This window comes from Homo sapiens, chromosome 17 (assembly GCF_000001405.40).
Source record: "Homo sapiens chromosome 17, GRCh38.p14 Primary Assembly".
NCBI lineage: Eukaryota > Metazoa > Chordata > Mammalia > Primates > Hominidae > Homo > Homo sapiens.
Window position 1 is genome coordinate 1,389,216 of NC_000017.11, and position 14,301 is coordinate 1,403,516.

General features: G+C 47.8%; 1 protein-coding gene across 2 annotated transcripts in view, besides 6 other annotated features; it reads right to left on the reverse strand.

Moving 5' to 3' along the window:
• Positions 1 to 11,007, reverse strand: part of YWHAE (tyrosine 3-monooxygenase/tryptophan 5-monooxygenase activation protein epsilon) — a 55,948-nt gene extending 44,941 nt beyond the window's left edge. For both annotated transcript variants that reach the window (NR_024058.2, NM_006761.5), the window contains exon 1: positions 10,832 to 11,007. Coding sequence is in view for 1 of the 2 variants with exons in the window: in NM_006761.5 (NP_006752.1) it covers positions 10,832 to 10,895 (64 nt within the window). In the remaining variant the exon portion in view is untranslated. The remainder of the gene's footprint in view (positions 1 to 10,831) is intronic.
• Positions 2,697 to 3,225: an enhancer, noted in NCBI's record as "H3K27ac-H3K4me1 hESC enhancer chr17:1295206-1295734 (GRCh37/hg19 assembly coordinates)". NCBI's record gives its function as "activates a minimal SCP1, AML or CMV promoter by ChIP-STARR-seq in naive H9 embryonic stem cells {active_cell/tissue: H9 hESC(naive)}" and the evidence as "EXISTENCE:reporter gene assay evidence [ECO:0000049][PMID:30033119]".
• Positions 9,592 to 10,229: an enhancer, noted in NCBI's record as "NANOG-H3K27ac-H3K4me1 hESC enhancer chr17:1302101-1302738 (GRCh37/hg19 assembly coordinates)". NCBI's record gives its function as "activates a minimal SCP1, AML or CMV promoter by ChIP-STARR-seq in primed H9 embryonic stem cells {active_cell/tissue: H9 hESC(primed)}" and the evidence as "EXISTENCE:reporter gene assay evidence [ECO:0000049][PMID:30033119]".
• Positions 10,230 to 10,867: an enhancer, noted in NCBI's record as "NANOG-H3K27ac-H3K4me1 hESC enhancer chr17:1302739-1303376 (GRCh37/hg19 assembly coordinates)". NCBI's record gives its function as "activates a minimal SCP1, AML or CMV promoter by ChIP-STARR-seq in naive and primed H9 embryonic stem cells {active_cell/tissue: H9 hESC(naive and primed)}" and the evidence as "EXISTENCE:reporter gene assay evidence [ECO:0000049][PMID:30033119]".
• Positions 10,868 to 11,505: an enhancer, noted in NCBI's record as "NANOG-H3K27ac-H3K4me1 hESC enhancer chr17:1303377-1304014 (GRCh37/hg19 assembly coordinates)". NCBI's record gives its function as "activates a minimal SCP1, AML or CMV promoter by ChIP-STARR-seq in naive H9 embryonic stem cells {active_cell/tissue: H9 hESC(naive)}" and the evidence as "EXISTENCE:reporter gene assay evidence [ECO:0000049][PMID:30033119]".
• Positions 12,448 to 13,063: an enhancer, noted in NCBI's record as "H3K4me1 hESC enhancer chr17:1304957-1305572 (GRCh37/hg19 assembly coordinates)". NCBI's record gives its function as "activates a minimal SCP1, AML or CMV promoter by ChIP-STARR-seq in primed H9 embryonic stem cells {active_cell/tissue: H9 hESC(primed)}" and the evidence as "EXISTENCE:reporter gene assay evidence [ECO:0000049][PMID:30033119]".
• Positions 13,064 to 13,679: an enhancer, noted in NCBI's record as "NANOG-H3K4me1 hESC enhancer chr17:1305573-1306188 (GRCh37/hg19 assembly coordinates)". NCBI's record gives its function as "activates a minimal SCP1, AML or CMV promoter by ChIP-STARR-seq in primed H9 embryonic stem cells {active_cell/tissue: H9 hESC(primed)}" and the evidence as "EXISTENCE:reporter gene assay evidence [ECO:0000049][PMID:30033119]".

Consider the following 14,301-nt stretch of genomic DNA (forward strand, 5'->3'; position numbering starts at 1 on the left):
TCTGCCTTCCAAAGTATTGGAATTACAGGGATTATTAGCCACTGCACGTGGCCCCTACTAACATTTAAACACTTAAATTTCAACATAAAGGTGTTCACAACAACCACTCCAAGGTCCTACAAAGTCTTCAGCTGACTAACCCAGGGATTAAGTAGTATTTAGTAGCTTTTTATTAATCAAAACCCATTCACTGTCCAAGGCTTATATTATGCCTTTAGAATCACATTTCACAAAATTGGTCATAGCTAACACCATTTTTCTTAAGTAATCTGAGATGGCTAAAATGCGAACATTTAACAATGATTTACGTTTTCTTTCTTTTTTTTTTTTTTTGAGATGGAGTCTCGCTCTGTTGCCCAGGCTGGAGTGCAGTGGCGCGATCCTGGCTCACTGCAAGCTCCGCCTCCCGGGTTCATGCCATTCTCCTGCCTCAGCCTCCTGAGCAGCTGGGACTACAGGCGCCCGCTACCACGCCCAGCTAATTTTTTGTATTTTTAGTAGAGACAGGGTTTCACTGTGTTAGCCAGGATGGTCTCAATCTGCTGACCTCGTAGTCCGCCCGCCTCGGCCTCCCAAAGTCCTGGGATTACAGCCGTGAGCCACCGTACCTGGCCAATTATTTACATTTTCTTTCTTTCTTTTTTTGAGACAGAGTTTTGCTCTTGTCGCCCAGGCTGGAGTGCAATGGTACAATCTCGGCTCACTGCAACCTCCGCCTCCCAGGTTCAAGCAAACCTCCTGCCTCAGCCTCCCGAGGAGCTGGGATTACAAGCGCCTGCCACCACTTCAAGCTAATTTTGTATTTTTTAGTATAGATGGGATTTCTCCATGTTGGTCAGGCTGGTCTTGAACTCCCGACCTCAGGTGATCCGCCCAACTTGGCCTCCCAAAGTGCTGGGATTACAGGTGTGAGCCACTGCACCCAGCCTACATTTTCATATTACAGCAGCTTTCATCCCAAATTCAGACAAAAGGTGTTACGTTTGCTAAGGAGAAAGTCTCTTATTAATCTAAAATTAATATCAAAACAACTATATACCAGCTCAACATGACAAAATTATTATTTGGGAATAATCTGGACGACCTTTACTTTGGATATGCAAATTTACAGATGTAAGATTAAGGATTTTGAGAATATTTCTTTGTGCATATCTTACATAAGGACTAAGCCCAGAAGACTACACTTGCTAAGAATAACTCAAAAAGGTAGGTTATCATCTAATATGATCCTAGCACAGCAGTAACAAAAACAATTATCTGACCTTTCACATTAGATAAGAATGTTTCACAACAAATAGTACCGACAAGTATTACACTTTACAGTTTACAAAAGCCCAAAATTTCATAACCACCCTGCAAATTAGTAGGCAAGAGAGACATCACTAATCCCCATTTGAAAGATAAGGAACCCAGTGATTCCTGTGCATTCTGTGATGGCAGATTTACCACATCTGCCAAATGATGAAATACTGTCATAACTCTTACAGTAATGCATCTCCTTCAAACTTTAGATATGAATGAAGAGTTAAACACATTTCATATTGCTTTAGCTCGATAAAATCCTGATCTGATCACAAATCAAGCCCACCAACAACAGATCCGTCCAGCTACTATGGTAGATTGTTGGAAGGGCAATAAATTCAAGATAAAAATTTCAGAAGAGATAAGCCAGGATCATGGTCATATGGTCTGAACTACACAGTTTGGCATTCTAAACATAACAGTTGTAACAAGATATGGGTGAGCCTTTAAATTTTTATGTGGGTATTTGGTATGAAAGACACTTGTAAAAATAAAAAAATAAAATGTATGTAGGGAAAGCTCTGAGCTTAGGACACTGCTACCAACACCTAGGTCTATTATATTTTTAAACACAGAACTGGCTCAAGGTAGCCATAAGAAAACCAACACACTAGGTGTTGACACCATCAGAGGATTTGGAATGCCAGCAAGCTCTATTTTCAGCAACTACCACATCCTTAACTAGCACGTTCCCATTTGTGGGGGAGGGAGCTAGGAGGAGGAAATTTTCACTTTTCCTTTGACTTATATTCTGCCAAAGGCTAACTTCATTTGAAAAAAAAAAATTCAACCTCCTAGAGACGTAGATCTAAGCTATCTCTGTGATAAAAAGCTGGACAACGTTTAGGAAACTGTTGTATGAGTCTAAATGACAAAATCTAGTAACAAATGGCCATTAAGTAGGGTGACCACAAGGCAAGTTTGTTGCCCAGGACAATCCCAGTTTATGCCTGCTGTTGTAGCTGATGAATTAGTCTGTCTTTTCAAGATATACTCATGTGGATGTTAAATTATGGTGACTTTCATTATTATTTGCTACAATTTAATAAATTTAAATGAACATCTGAAATTGTTCTTAGGGCCATGACTAGCATTAACATTTAGTCAGAGAACCATGAGGTTCTGTTGGCAACCAATTCGTCAATTTGGATATATCAATACCTAAATATATCAAGCTGGCCGGGCGCAGTGGTTCATGCCTATAATCCCTGCACTTTGGGGAGGCCACAGTGGGAGGATCGCTTGAACCCAGGAGTTACCTGGACAACACAGTGGGATCCCGTCTCCACAAAAAAAAAGTTTTAATTAGCTGGTCATGGCGGTACCAGCTACCTGGTGGGAAGATCACATGAGCTCAGGAGTTCAACATCAGCCTGGGCAATCCGCTGGGACCAGGCCTCTACCAAAAAAATTTTTTTGCCAGCCATGGTGGCTCACGCCTGTAATCGCAAAACTTTGGGAGGCCGAGGCAGGTGAATCTTGAGCTCGAGTTCAAGACCTGGGCAACATGGTAAAATCCTGTCTCTACAAAAATTAGCCAGAAGTGGTGGTATACTTCTGTAGCCCCAGCTACTTGGCATGCTGAGGTGCCCAGGGGGTCAAAGCTGCAGTGAGCCATAAATGTGACACTGCATCCCAGCCTGAGTAATATACTGAGATCTTGTCTCGGGAAAAAAGAAAAAGAAAAAGAAAAAAAAGTTCTTTTAAATTATCCAGGTATTGTGGTGCACAGCTGTGGGCCCAGCTAAGTGGGAGGCTGAGATGGGATGATCATTTGGGCCTGGGAGGTTGAGGATGCAGTGAATCGTTACTGCATCAATGCAATCCAAGCCTGGCCAACAAAGCAAGACCTTGTCTCAAAAAAGTATATGTATCTATCTCAAACTGTTAACTGACCATTTCAAAAATAGTGAAAATAGCCATTTTTCTTGCTGCTCTTTCCTACTCCTTAATGGATTCCATTAGACAGCTATCTAGCCAACCACCCGGAACAACACTGGTGAATCATATGCCAACCTTTGTCCCTCCTAGAAGTTGTATGTCTATATCTGGCCGGGTGCGGTGGCTCACACCTATAATCCCAGCATTTTGGGAGGCTGAGGCAGGCGGACTACCTGAGGTCAGGAGTTGAAGACCAGCCTGGCTAATATGGTGAAACTCTGTCTCTACTAAAAATACAAAAATTAGCCAAGCATGATGGCCCAAGTCTGTAGTCTCAGCTACTCGGGAGGCTGAGGCAGGAGAATCACTTGAGCCCAGGAGGCGGAGGCTGCAGTGAGCCAAGATCACGCCACTGCACTCCAGCCTGAATGACAAGAGGGAAAATCCATCTCAAAAAAAAAAAAAAGTTGTATGACTACATCACTAACCTAACAACTTAATAGCATTCACTAAGACAAAGGTGGCCGGGGGTGGTGGCTCACGCCTATAATCCCAGCACTTTGGGAGGCCAAGTCTGACAGATTGCTTGAGTCCAGGAATTCCAAGACCAGCCTGGGCAACATGGTGAAACCCCATCTCTACTAAAACACAAAAGAAATTAGCTGGGAGTGGTGGATCGCGCCACTGTACTCCAGCACTCCAGCCTGGGTGACAGAGCAAGACTCCATCTCTCCAAAAAATAAATAAATAAATAAATAAATAAATAAATAAATAAAATTTAAAAACATACAAACAAACAAAAAAAACAGCTACTTAAGAGGCTGAGGTGGGGGGATCACCTGAGACTGGAAGGTAGAGGCTGCAGTGAGCCAAGATCGCACCACTGCACTACAGCCTGGGTGACCAAGTGAGACCCTGTCTCAAAAAAAAAAAAAGGAAAAAGATAAAAGTGAGAGGAGAAAATATTTTAAAGCTACTTTACAGAAATGCATAGCATCAGCCATATCCCAGTACAGACATTATGATAAACTACGGGGCTTTTCTTTTCTTGAGACAGGCTCTCCCTCTGTGGCCCAGACTGGAGTGCAATGGTGCGATGTGGGCTCACTGCAATCTCCACCTCCCAGGGTCAAGCGATTTCCCACCTCAGCCTCCTCAGTAGCTGGGACTAAAGGCACAAGCCATCACAGGCCAGCTAATTTTTGTATTTTTAGTAGAGACTGGTTTTCACCATGTTGGTCAGGATGGTCTCAAACTCCTGACCTCAGGTGATCCGCCCACCTCGGCCTCCCACAGTGCTGGGATTGCAGGTGTTTGAGCCGCGGAACCCGGCTGGGGCTTTTCTTTTTTTGGTTGTTTTTTTCTTTTGCTTAAAGAGGTGACATCTGCCTACAATAAATCATGTTTTTTAAGAATCTGTATGCGAATAAACATTCTGAGAGTACCTAAACTTCACCTCATTTTAATTTCGCTGTGCCTTGAGATGGGATTTTATCTCTGAAAAAAACCATCAGGTTTCTTTAGGAAAGTGAAAAGATTTTGTCTACAATTCACCATGGATATCAGTCATCACAAACATCAAGATGTGAAGTAGATGCTATTAGAATTGTTAAAGAACAAGCATCAAGCATACGCTACTCACCCCCTACTCCCCTGAAAGGCACCACCTTACTTCACAGAGGTCTTTTGAGTGGCTGAGAGTAAGTGTACCGATCTAAAGGTCAGCAGACACTAAGTTCTGGCTTTACCATTTAATAACTGATTAGCCACATGATCATAAAAAAATCTCTCTCTCAAACTCACTTTCTTGAACCAGAAAATGGGAGTAACGCTCTACCTGCTTCAATCTTGTTACATAAATTAAAAACTTTTGTCAACGTGGGCTGTGAACTGAGGTACTGCATAATGTCATATACACATATGTAAAGTTTAGGCCAGAAGCAGTGACTCACACCTGTAATCCCAGCACTTTGGGAGGCCAAGGTGGGAGTCCAGGAATTCAAGACCAGCCTGGGCAACATAGAGACCTCAAATCCACAAAAAAAAAAAAAAAAAAAAAAAAACACAAAAATTAGGCCGGTGCAACAGTCCCAGCTACTAGGGAAGCTGAGGCAGGAGGGTCACTGGAACTCAGGAGGTCGAGCCTGCAGTAAGCTATAATGGCGACACTGCACTTCAGCCTGGGTCACAAAGCAAGACCCTGTTTCAAAAAAAAATTTTTTTTTAATTTAGCCTTCCCATAAATACATACACCTAATATGTGCCCATTAAAAAATTAAAAATTTAGGCCAGGTACAGTGGCTCATACCTGTAATGCTAGCCCTTTGGGAGGCTGAGGCGGGAGGATCACCTGAGGTCAGGAGTCAGAGATCAGCCTGGCAAACATGGTGAAACCCCATCTCTACTAAAAATACAAAAATTAGCCAGGTGCGATGGCGGGCGCCTGTAGTCCCAGCTACTCGGGAAGCAGAGGCAGGAGAATCGCTTGAACCCAGGGGGCAGAGGCTGCAGTGAGCCGAGATCCTACCACTACACTCCACCCTAGGTGACAGAGCAAGACTGTCTCAAAAAAATAAATAAAAATAAAACTGCAGCCTTTACTCCATGCTTGTCATTACTGTTTGTGTACACAGTGTTCTTGAAATATAAAGAAAAAATATGCCTGCAGTATCAGTCACCCTTACAGTCATCCATGAAAAAAAAAAACAATCAGGCCGGGTGTGGTGGCTCACGCCTGTAATTCCAACACTTTGGGAGGCCGAGGCAGGCAGATCACCTGAGGTCAGGAGTTCAAGACCAGCCTGGCAAACATGGTAAAACCCTGTCTCTACCAAAAACACAAAAATTGGCTGGGTGCGGTGGCTCACACCTGTAATCCCAGCAGTTTGGGAGGCTGAGGTGGGCAGATCACCTGAGATCAGGAGATAAAGACCATCCTGGCCAACATGGTGAAACCTCGTCTCTACTAAAAATACAAAAAATTAGCCGAGTGTGGTGGCACGCGCCTGTAGTCCCAGCTACTTGGGAGGCTGAGCCAGGAGAACCGCTTGAACCTGGGAGGCGGAGGTTGCAGTGAGCCAAGACCACGCCATTGCACTCCAGCCTGGGGGACAGAGCCCAGTCGTAGAAGGGATTTTTAACACTACGTTACTCAGTTCTGTCTATGCATTTAAGAAGGAGAAAAATAAACTTTACTCCAGAAAGTTAGTCCATTAACTGAAACGGCAATGGAAAATTACTGGCCTACAGTCAAAGAACTGGTAGTTAATCTAAATACTTCTAAACTTATTAACAACGTTAATTTACTACTACCTATTTTTTTCCTAACAAGACCGTAGTAAAAAGTTCATTCCACACATGCTCCCTTCCCTGTTCTTCACTAACTAGCAGAATAAGCTAGCTAGAGATGAGGATCTGGTGTTTTAAAAGGACAGCTCTCAGCGGGCTCAGTGGCTCACGCCTGTAACCCCAGCACTCTGGGAGGCCGAGGCGGGCGGATCACCTGAGGTCAGGAGTTCGAGATCAGCCTGGCCAACATGGCGAAACCCCATCTCTACTAAAAATACAAAATTAGCCTGGCATAGTGGCGGATGCCTGTAATCCCAGCTACTCTTGGAGGCTGAGGCAGGAGAATCGCTTGAACCCAGGGGATGGAGGTTGCAGTGAGCCGAGATCGCGCTATTGCACTACAGCCTGGGCGACAAGAGCAAGACTCCGTCTCAAAAAAAAGACAGCTCTTGACCAGGCGCGGTGGCTCAGGTCCTTAATGTCAGCACTTTGGGAGACTGAGGTGGGCGGATCACCTGAGGTCGGGAGTTCGAGACCAGCCTGACCAACATGGAGAAACCGTGTCTCTACTAAAAAAGAAATACAAAATTAGCATGGCATGGTGGCACATGCCTGTAGTCCCAGCTACTCGGGAGGGTGAGGCAGGAGAATCGCTTGAACCCTGGAGGCGGAGGTTGCAGTGGGCCGAGATTGTGCCACTTCAATAAAGCCTGGGAGACAGAGCGAGACTCCGTCTCAAAAGAAAAAAAAGACAGCTCTCAAGTAAATGACTCAACAGATGCATTCCTAGGGAATCCAACATGACCATCAAAACTTCATCCTACCTTCCATGAAGCCAATCTTGATAGGGAAGAGACTAGGAAAGGACAAAACCAACAACAGCCCCACAAGCCCAAATGTAGTTTATGTTACCCCTCTGCTCCCCAAAAACGGGTAAACTTTTCCCCTCTATATTCCCCGTTTTTTATTGTTGCTGTTGCCCAGGATGGAGTGCAATGGCGCAATCTCGGCTCACCGCAACCTCGGCCTCCCGGGTTCAAGTGATTCTCCTGCCTCCGCCTCCCAAGTAGCTGGGATTACAGGCACCCACCACCCCCGGCTAATTTTGTATTTTTACTACAGACGGGGTTTCTCCATGTTGGTCAGGCTGGTCTCGAACTTCTGACTTCAGGTGATCCACCCGCCTTGGCCTCCCAAAGTACTGGGATTACAGGCATGAGCCACCGCACCTGGCCTCTTTTTTTTTTTTTTGGAGACAAGAGTCTCGCTCTGTTGCCCAGGCTGTAGTGTAATGCCATAATCCTGGTTCACTACAACCTTCACCTCCCGGGTTCAAGTGATTCTTCCACCTCAACCTCCTCAGTAGCTATGCCCGGATAATTTTTTTATTTTTGTAGAGACAGGGTTTCACCATGTTGGCCAGGCTGGTCTTGAACTCCCGACCTCAGGTGATCCACCCGCCTCGACCTCCCAAGGTGCTGGGATTACAGGCGTGAGCCACCCCGCCCGGCCTTTCTTCCCCACTTTCTTGTACTATTTCATATACGGGACAGTAAGAGCTGTTTGAGAAATGCTAAGAAATAATGGACTTGCTTAATATGGTTTCAAAGGAGGTAAAAACGATTCGAATAGACTACTGGCTTGTTAAAGTGATGAGATGCTAGATTTAATCTTCAACTCCCAGCCCCAAACTTAAATATTTCCTGTGACCCAAAATTGTCATTTTCCTGAACACAGGTTAGCTCTTCCTCCCGTACTGTTAAATAATCCATATAAATTGATTCCAACGCCCCAGGATAGAATTAAATGAGGATACAAAGAAGTTTAGGCACTAATTCAACACAGCAAGCAAAATAAAATAAGCCTGCTGCAGTAACAGAGAGATAAAAGGGCAGCTGGAAACCCAGCATTTGGGTACAAGTACCCAACAAAGAAATCCTGCCAATACACTGTCTTACCTTCTTCCACCCCCGACACCTGCTAAGTTCTGTTTGGTGACCAGAACTCCGGGAAAACTTTGCCACCAGAAACAAAAAAATACCGCACTCAATAAAGGAATGGACACAGGTAGAGGACACAGGTAGAAATTCCTGGTTTCTGTCTCCTCCTCCTCCTCTCCTTTCCACTGAGTCCCTACCTTATGCCCCAAGTCACAGCAATAGCTCCTCACCTTGTAGATCCTATTTCCTTACCCCTTTAGATCCTGAAGGGGACACCTAACATTAACAACTGTAATAATGTGGCTGTATCAGAGTCCCATGTTCAATAACCAATAAGGGCTCTGGTCAGAAATCCTCACCACTCACATCAAAAATATAATTATCACTAACCTGTACTTTATTTGGAAACTACAATCACAAGCTTTCAAATCAGTTTTTTAAAGGAGCTTTCAAAAAGAAAAAGACCTTTCCTCACATCCTTTCTAGTTATCACAGCAAGTTTACTTAAAAAGCCCCAATACCCACAAAATAGAAAGCATTCAAGTACAATTTGTTTCCTCCCAAGAACACTAACAGATTAAGAGGGGAACATCTGGAGATGAGGGGGCGGAGGAGGAGACTTCCAATACAAGCACATTCATATCTCTTTGATTTTTAAACACTGAAATAAAGACAAAGCAGACCTTGAGCTGTACTTCCCCATCTTATCCCCCCCCCCAACAGGAACCTTGTTGAATACAAATAGCAATTTAAGAATTTACAAGACGAAATTTAGTTCACTATATTTCCTAAATATGAGTTCTAGAGGCCTTGTCTTATTTTCAAATCCCTGAATCTTATTTCTGATGATAAGGGGGACTAACCCTGAGGTTATTCACATGACTAAATCCGCATTTCGAGGAAAGCAAGGGCCCTAACATTTTGAAATATAGGTATTTTAATTAGGAAAAAAATCTAAGAATCAAAGATACTTGATTCCAACCATGTCTCACCCCACCCTACCACGCAAAAGCATTAAAACCACAGGACCCACAGACATGACCTTTCGTTTAATACTACAGTATCGCACAATTATAAATGTGTGGGTATTTCAAAAGGTGGTCCAAAAGGTGGACTGGGAGAGAGGATTAAGAATAAACTTCCTGACAATGACTGGACAGACACAATGGACATTCGATGAAGTTCTGAAAAAGGACTGGAGAACCCATTAGGGGCAAAAGAACAACGAACAAAGAGGACCTACTAATATTTCTACATAAACCCATTTATTTAAAACGGAAAAAAAGAAAGCAACAGGATCTTCAACCTTCATAACTCAAAAAACCCAGCCTCAGCCGAGCGCCTGGAATAGGTTAAGATCCCCCACGAAGTACAGACCAGCATTCCGAGCCTGCAGAGTCAACCAAAATACAGTTACTGAACACTATTGGAAATAACTTTATTTCAACAGGTCTTCCCATTTGTCATCACGGTGCGCACAAACTGTAAAGTCATCGTTTTTACAAACGGGGGGACGGAGGCTCGGGCTCTACAAAGGCTCGAACTCTCAGAGTCGTGGCCTCCTGGTTCTATCCATCAGAACCCACGGGTGATGGAGCCAGAGAAAGGTTACAGGAACTTCGAGATCTCCTGTTTTAAGTCTGAGGAAAGGGAGGGAGTGAGGATTTTCTGGGCCTCCCCAGAAGACGACGAGGAGGAAAAGCCCCGAAACCCCTCACTACGAGGTGCCGGCCTACGGGAAAGAAACCCGATCGCAGCATGGGAGCCTGCCACCGCCCGAAGACGAACTGCAGTGATTCCCACTCACCCCTCTCCCCCCACCATCATCCACGACTGTCCCCCACCTCAGGCCTGAGGAAGCCCATCGCTCTCAAAGGTCCTCCTTTGTGAGACTCCACGGCCGCCGCCCCACACGGGGCCTCCGGGGAAAAGCCACCGCCCCCACCCGCCATATTTCCCTGAAAGGCGCCCGCGCTACAGCTCCCGGTCTTCGCTCTCTCCCATGTGGCGGGTGCTGCTTCCCCCGTCACCCCACCCAATTGTTCTCCACATCCCAAGGCCGTCCCAGAAGCTCCCATGAGGGTGGCTCGTTCGGAGACAGCACCCGCCATCTCCTCCCCCTCCCCCGCCCCGGGACTCGCCCTCCCCCCAGCCGCCATTTTACAACCAACTCCTCCACCCCGTCGCCCCGGCCTCCCGGCCCGCGAGTTGTTTGCAGTTAAGGACGGCGAAGGGGTCACATTCCAGGGCATAGAGCCTCCCATCGCCCCGGGAGCTCCCAGGCCATTTCCTGCTTCCCGAACCCAAGCCCCCGGGCCAGGCTCGCAGACGATGCCGCCATTTTGTCTCCTGTTCCCGGCCTCTGTGGGCGGCGGCAGAGGGTCCGAGAATTCCAGCCCCCCGTTGCCCCCCCAACTCACCGTCGTATCGCTCAGCCTGCTCGGCCAGCTTCGCCTGGTACACCAGATCCTCTCGATCATCCATAGCGGCAGCGGCTCCGGCAGGGTCTGCGCGACGGATGGAAGCGGATAGTGTCTCCGACTCTCTCAGCCTCTCGCTCCGCGTCCGGGCAGCAAAAATGGCGGCGCCTCAATCCGGGACTTCCGCCTGCGCACGCGGACAACTGCTCAGCTCTATGGCAACCGCTCCCTGGCAACTGGCGCGGGGGGCGGGTCCTGGAACTCGGCGCCCGAAGCGGCTGGAACGAGCGCACGAGACGCCTCTCCTCTGTCGGCTCAGCGGGCGCCGGAGCCCAGAGGCGGGAACTGCGACTGCCGAAAGGGAGCGGCCCCCGGGGAACGAGAAGGGCTGAGGCGGGGCCGGCCGGGACTGCTCCTGAAAAAAGCCAGCGAGAGACCTGGGTCAGACCGGGGCCCGAGGCCCGACCTGCGGAAAAGAACGACGGAGGCTGTAACGGTTTCTGTCATGGCAGGTCTTCTTTCCCGAAATCTGAGGCTGTCACTACCGCGCCCTGGTTTTCTTTTCTTTTTTCTTTTTTCTTTTTTCTTTTTGAGACGGAGTTTCCCTCTTGTTCCCCAGGCTGGAGTGCAGTGGTGCGATCTCGGGTTACCACAACGTCCGCCTTCCCGGGTTCAAGTGATTCTGCTGCCTCAGCCTCTCGAGTAGCTGGGATTTCAGGCCCCCGCCACCACCCCCAGCTTTTGTATTTTTAATAGAGATGGGGTTTCACCATGTTGGCCAGGCTGGTCTCGAACTCCCGACCTCAGATGATCCGCCCCCCCTCGGCCTCCCAAAGCGCTGGGATTCCAGGGGTGAGCCACCGCGCCCAGCCCACGTCCTAGTTTTCTCGGCCAAGCCTGGTCATGGGCCTTTTTCAGACACTTTTAGACTCAGGGTAACGAACCGGGCCCTGGCCGGGCGCGGCGGCTCATGCCTGTCATCCCAGCACTTTGGGAGGCCAAGGCGGGAGGATCACAAGGTCAGGAGTTCGAGACCAGCCTGGCCAATATAGTGAAACCCCGTCTCTACTAAAAATACAAAAAATTAGCTTGGCATGGTGGTGCATGCCTGTCATCCCAGCTACTCAGGAGGCTGAGGCAGGAGAATCTCTTGAACCCGGGAGGCGGAGGTTACAGTGAGCCGAGATCCTCCCATTGCACTCCAGCCCAGGCGACAGTGTGAGACTGTGTTTCAAAAGAAAAATTATATATATATACAAAAATTAGCTGGGCGTGGTGGTGCATGCCTGTAATCCCAGCTACTCCAGAGGCTGAGGCAGGAGAATCGCTTGAACCCGGGAGTGGGAGGGTGCAGTGAACCGAGAGCACACCATTGCACTCCAGCCTGGGCAACAAGAGCACAACTCTGTCTCAAAACAAAGAAAAAGAAAAAAAACGAACTGGGCCCTGTTACAGTTGTCAGGGACAGGGGAGCTCCAGTTTTCACGCCTCAACTTTCCCCTCACACTGATCTTTGTCTTCTCCTGTTTAACCTTTTTCCCTCCCTAGGCCCACTATGAATAGGAGCAGGGAATTTGTTAGATGAGGGTGGTGTGGAGTACATGGTACAGAAGAGTTGGACCAAGATCAAATAAAGATTGTGGAGGCAGGAATAACTCAGTGAACATTGCTTCAGCTTCTGGCGCTTGGGAGGCCCATGCGGAAGGATGACTTGAGCCCAGCCTGGGCAACATAGCGAGACTCCATGTCTATAAAAACGTTTTTTTTTTTTTTTATTTGAGTCGGCATCTCGCTCTGTTGCCCAGGCTGGAGTGCAGTGTCGTGATCTCGGCTCACTGCAACCTCCACCTCCCGGGTTGAAGCAATTCTCCTGCTTCAGCCTCCCAAGTAGCTGAGACTACGGGCACATGCCACCACACCCGGCCAATTTTTTGTATTTTTAATAGAGACGGGGTTTCACCATGTTAGCCAGGGTGGCCTCGATCTCCTGACCTCGTGATCTGCCCACCTCGGCCTCCCAAAGTGCTGGGATGACAGGCCTGAGCCATATCTTAGCAGTTTCAGAGGCTGAAGCAGGAGGATCTCCTGAGTCCAGGAGGTTGAGGCTGCAGTGAACTGTGATTGCACCAGTGGACTCCAGCCTGGGTAACAGAGCGAGACCCTGTCTCAAAAAATAAAGTGGGGAGAGGGAGGGATCTTGCCACGTTGCACAGACTGGCCTTAAACTGAGTTCAAGCAATCCCACCTTGGCCTCCCAAGTAGTTGGGAAACTACAGGCTTGCACCAACGCACCCAATCTTGCATCCTATTTTGTGGCCAAGGGAGCTGTATGATTTTGCGTGGAGGATGATGTCATCATAGTTATATTTCAGAAATATTAACAAATATTCCATAGCAATGATTAAAGAGGAGGATAACCAAACGTAATACGTGGGAGCAATGAAAATAGAAAGGAAAGGATAAATAGGAATAGCACTATAGAGGGAAGCCACAAGCAGCTGATCAGATTGCAGCTCTTTTTTTTTTTTTTACCATTACATATATAACATTTTATTATAATTTAAGGTATAGTCGATAATATAATGTTTTTTTTGTGTTTTTTTTGTTTTTTTTTTTAAATTGATCATTCTTGGGTGTTTCTCGCAGAGGGGGATTTGGCAGGGTCATAGGACAATAGTGGAGGGAAGGTCAGCAGATAAACATGTGAACAAGGGTCTCTGGTTTTCCTAGGCAGAGGACCCTGAGGCCTTCCGCAGTGTTTGTGTCCCTGGGTACTTGAGATTAGGGAGTGGTGATGACTCTTAACGAGCATGCTGCCTTCAAGCATCTGTTTAACAAAGCACATCTTGCACCGCCCTTAATCCATTTAACCCTGAGTGGACACAGCACATGTTTCAGAGAGCACAGGGTTGGGGGTAAGGTCACAGATCAACAGGATCCCAAGGCAGAAGAAGTTTTCTTAGTACAGAACAAAATGAGAAGTCTCCCATGTCTACCTCTTTCTACACAGACACGGCAAGCATCCAACCTCTCAATCTTTTCCCCACCTTTCCCCCCTTTCTATTCCACAAAACCGCCATTGTCATCATGGCCCGTTCTCAATGAGCTGCTGGGCACACCTCCCAGACGGGGTGGCGGCCGGGCAGAGGGGCTCCTCACTTCCCAGTAGGGGCGGCCGGGCAGATGCGCCCCTCACCTCCCGGACGGGGCGGCTGGCCGGGCGGGGGGCTGACCCCCCCACCTCCCTCCCGGACGGGGTGGCTGCCGGGCGGAGACGCTCCTCACTTCCCAGATGGGGTGGCTGCCGGGCGGAGGGGCTCCTCACTTCTCTGACGGGGCGGCTGCCGGGTGGAGGGGCTCCTCACTTCTCAGACGGGGCGGCCGGGCAGAGACGCTCCTCACCTCCCAGACGATGGGCGGCCGGGCAGAGACGCTCCTCACTTCCTAGATGGGATGGCGGCCGGGCAGAG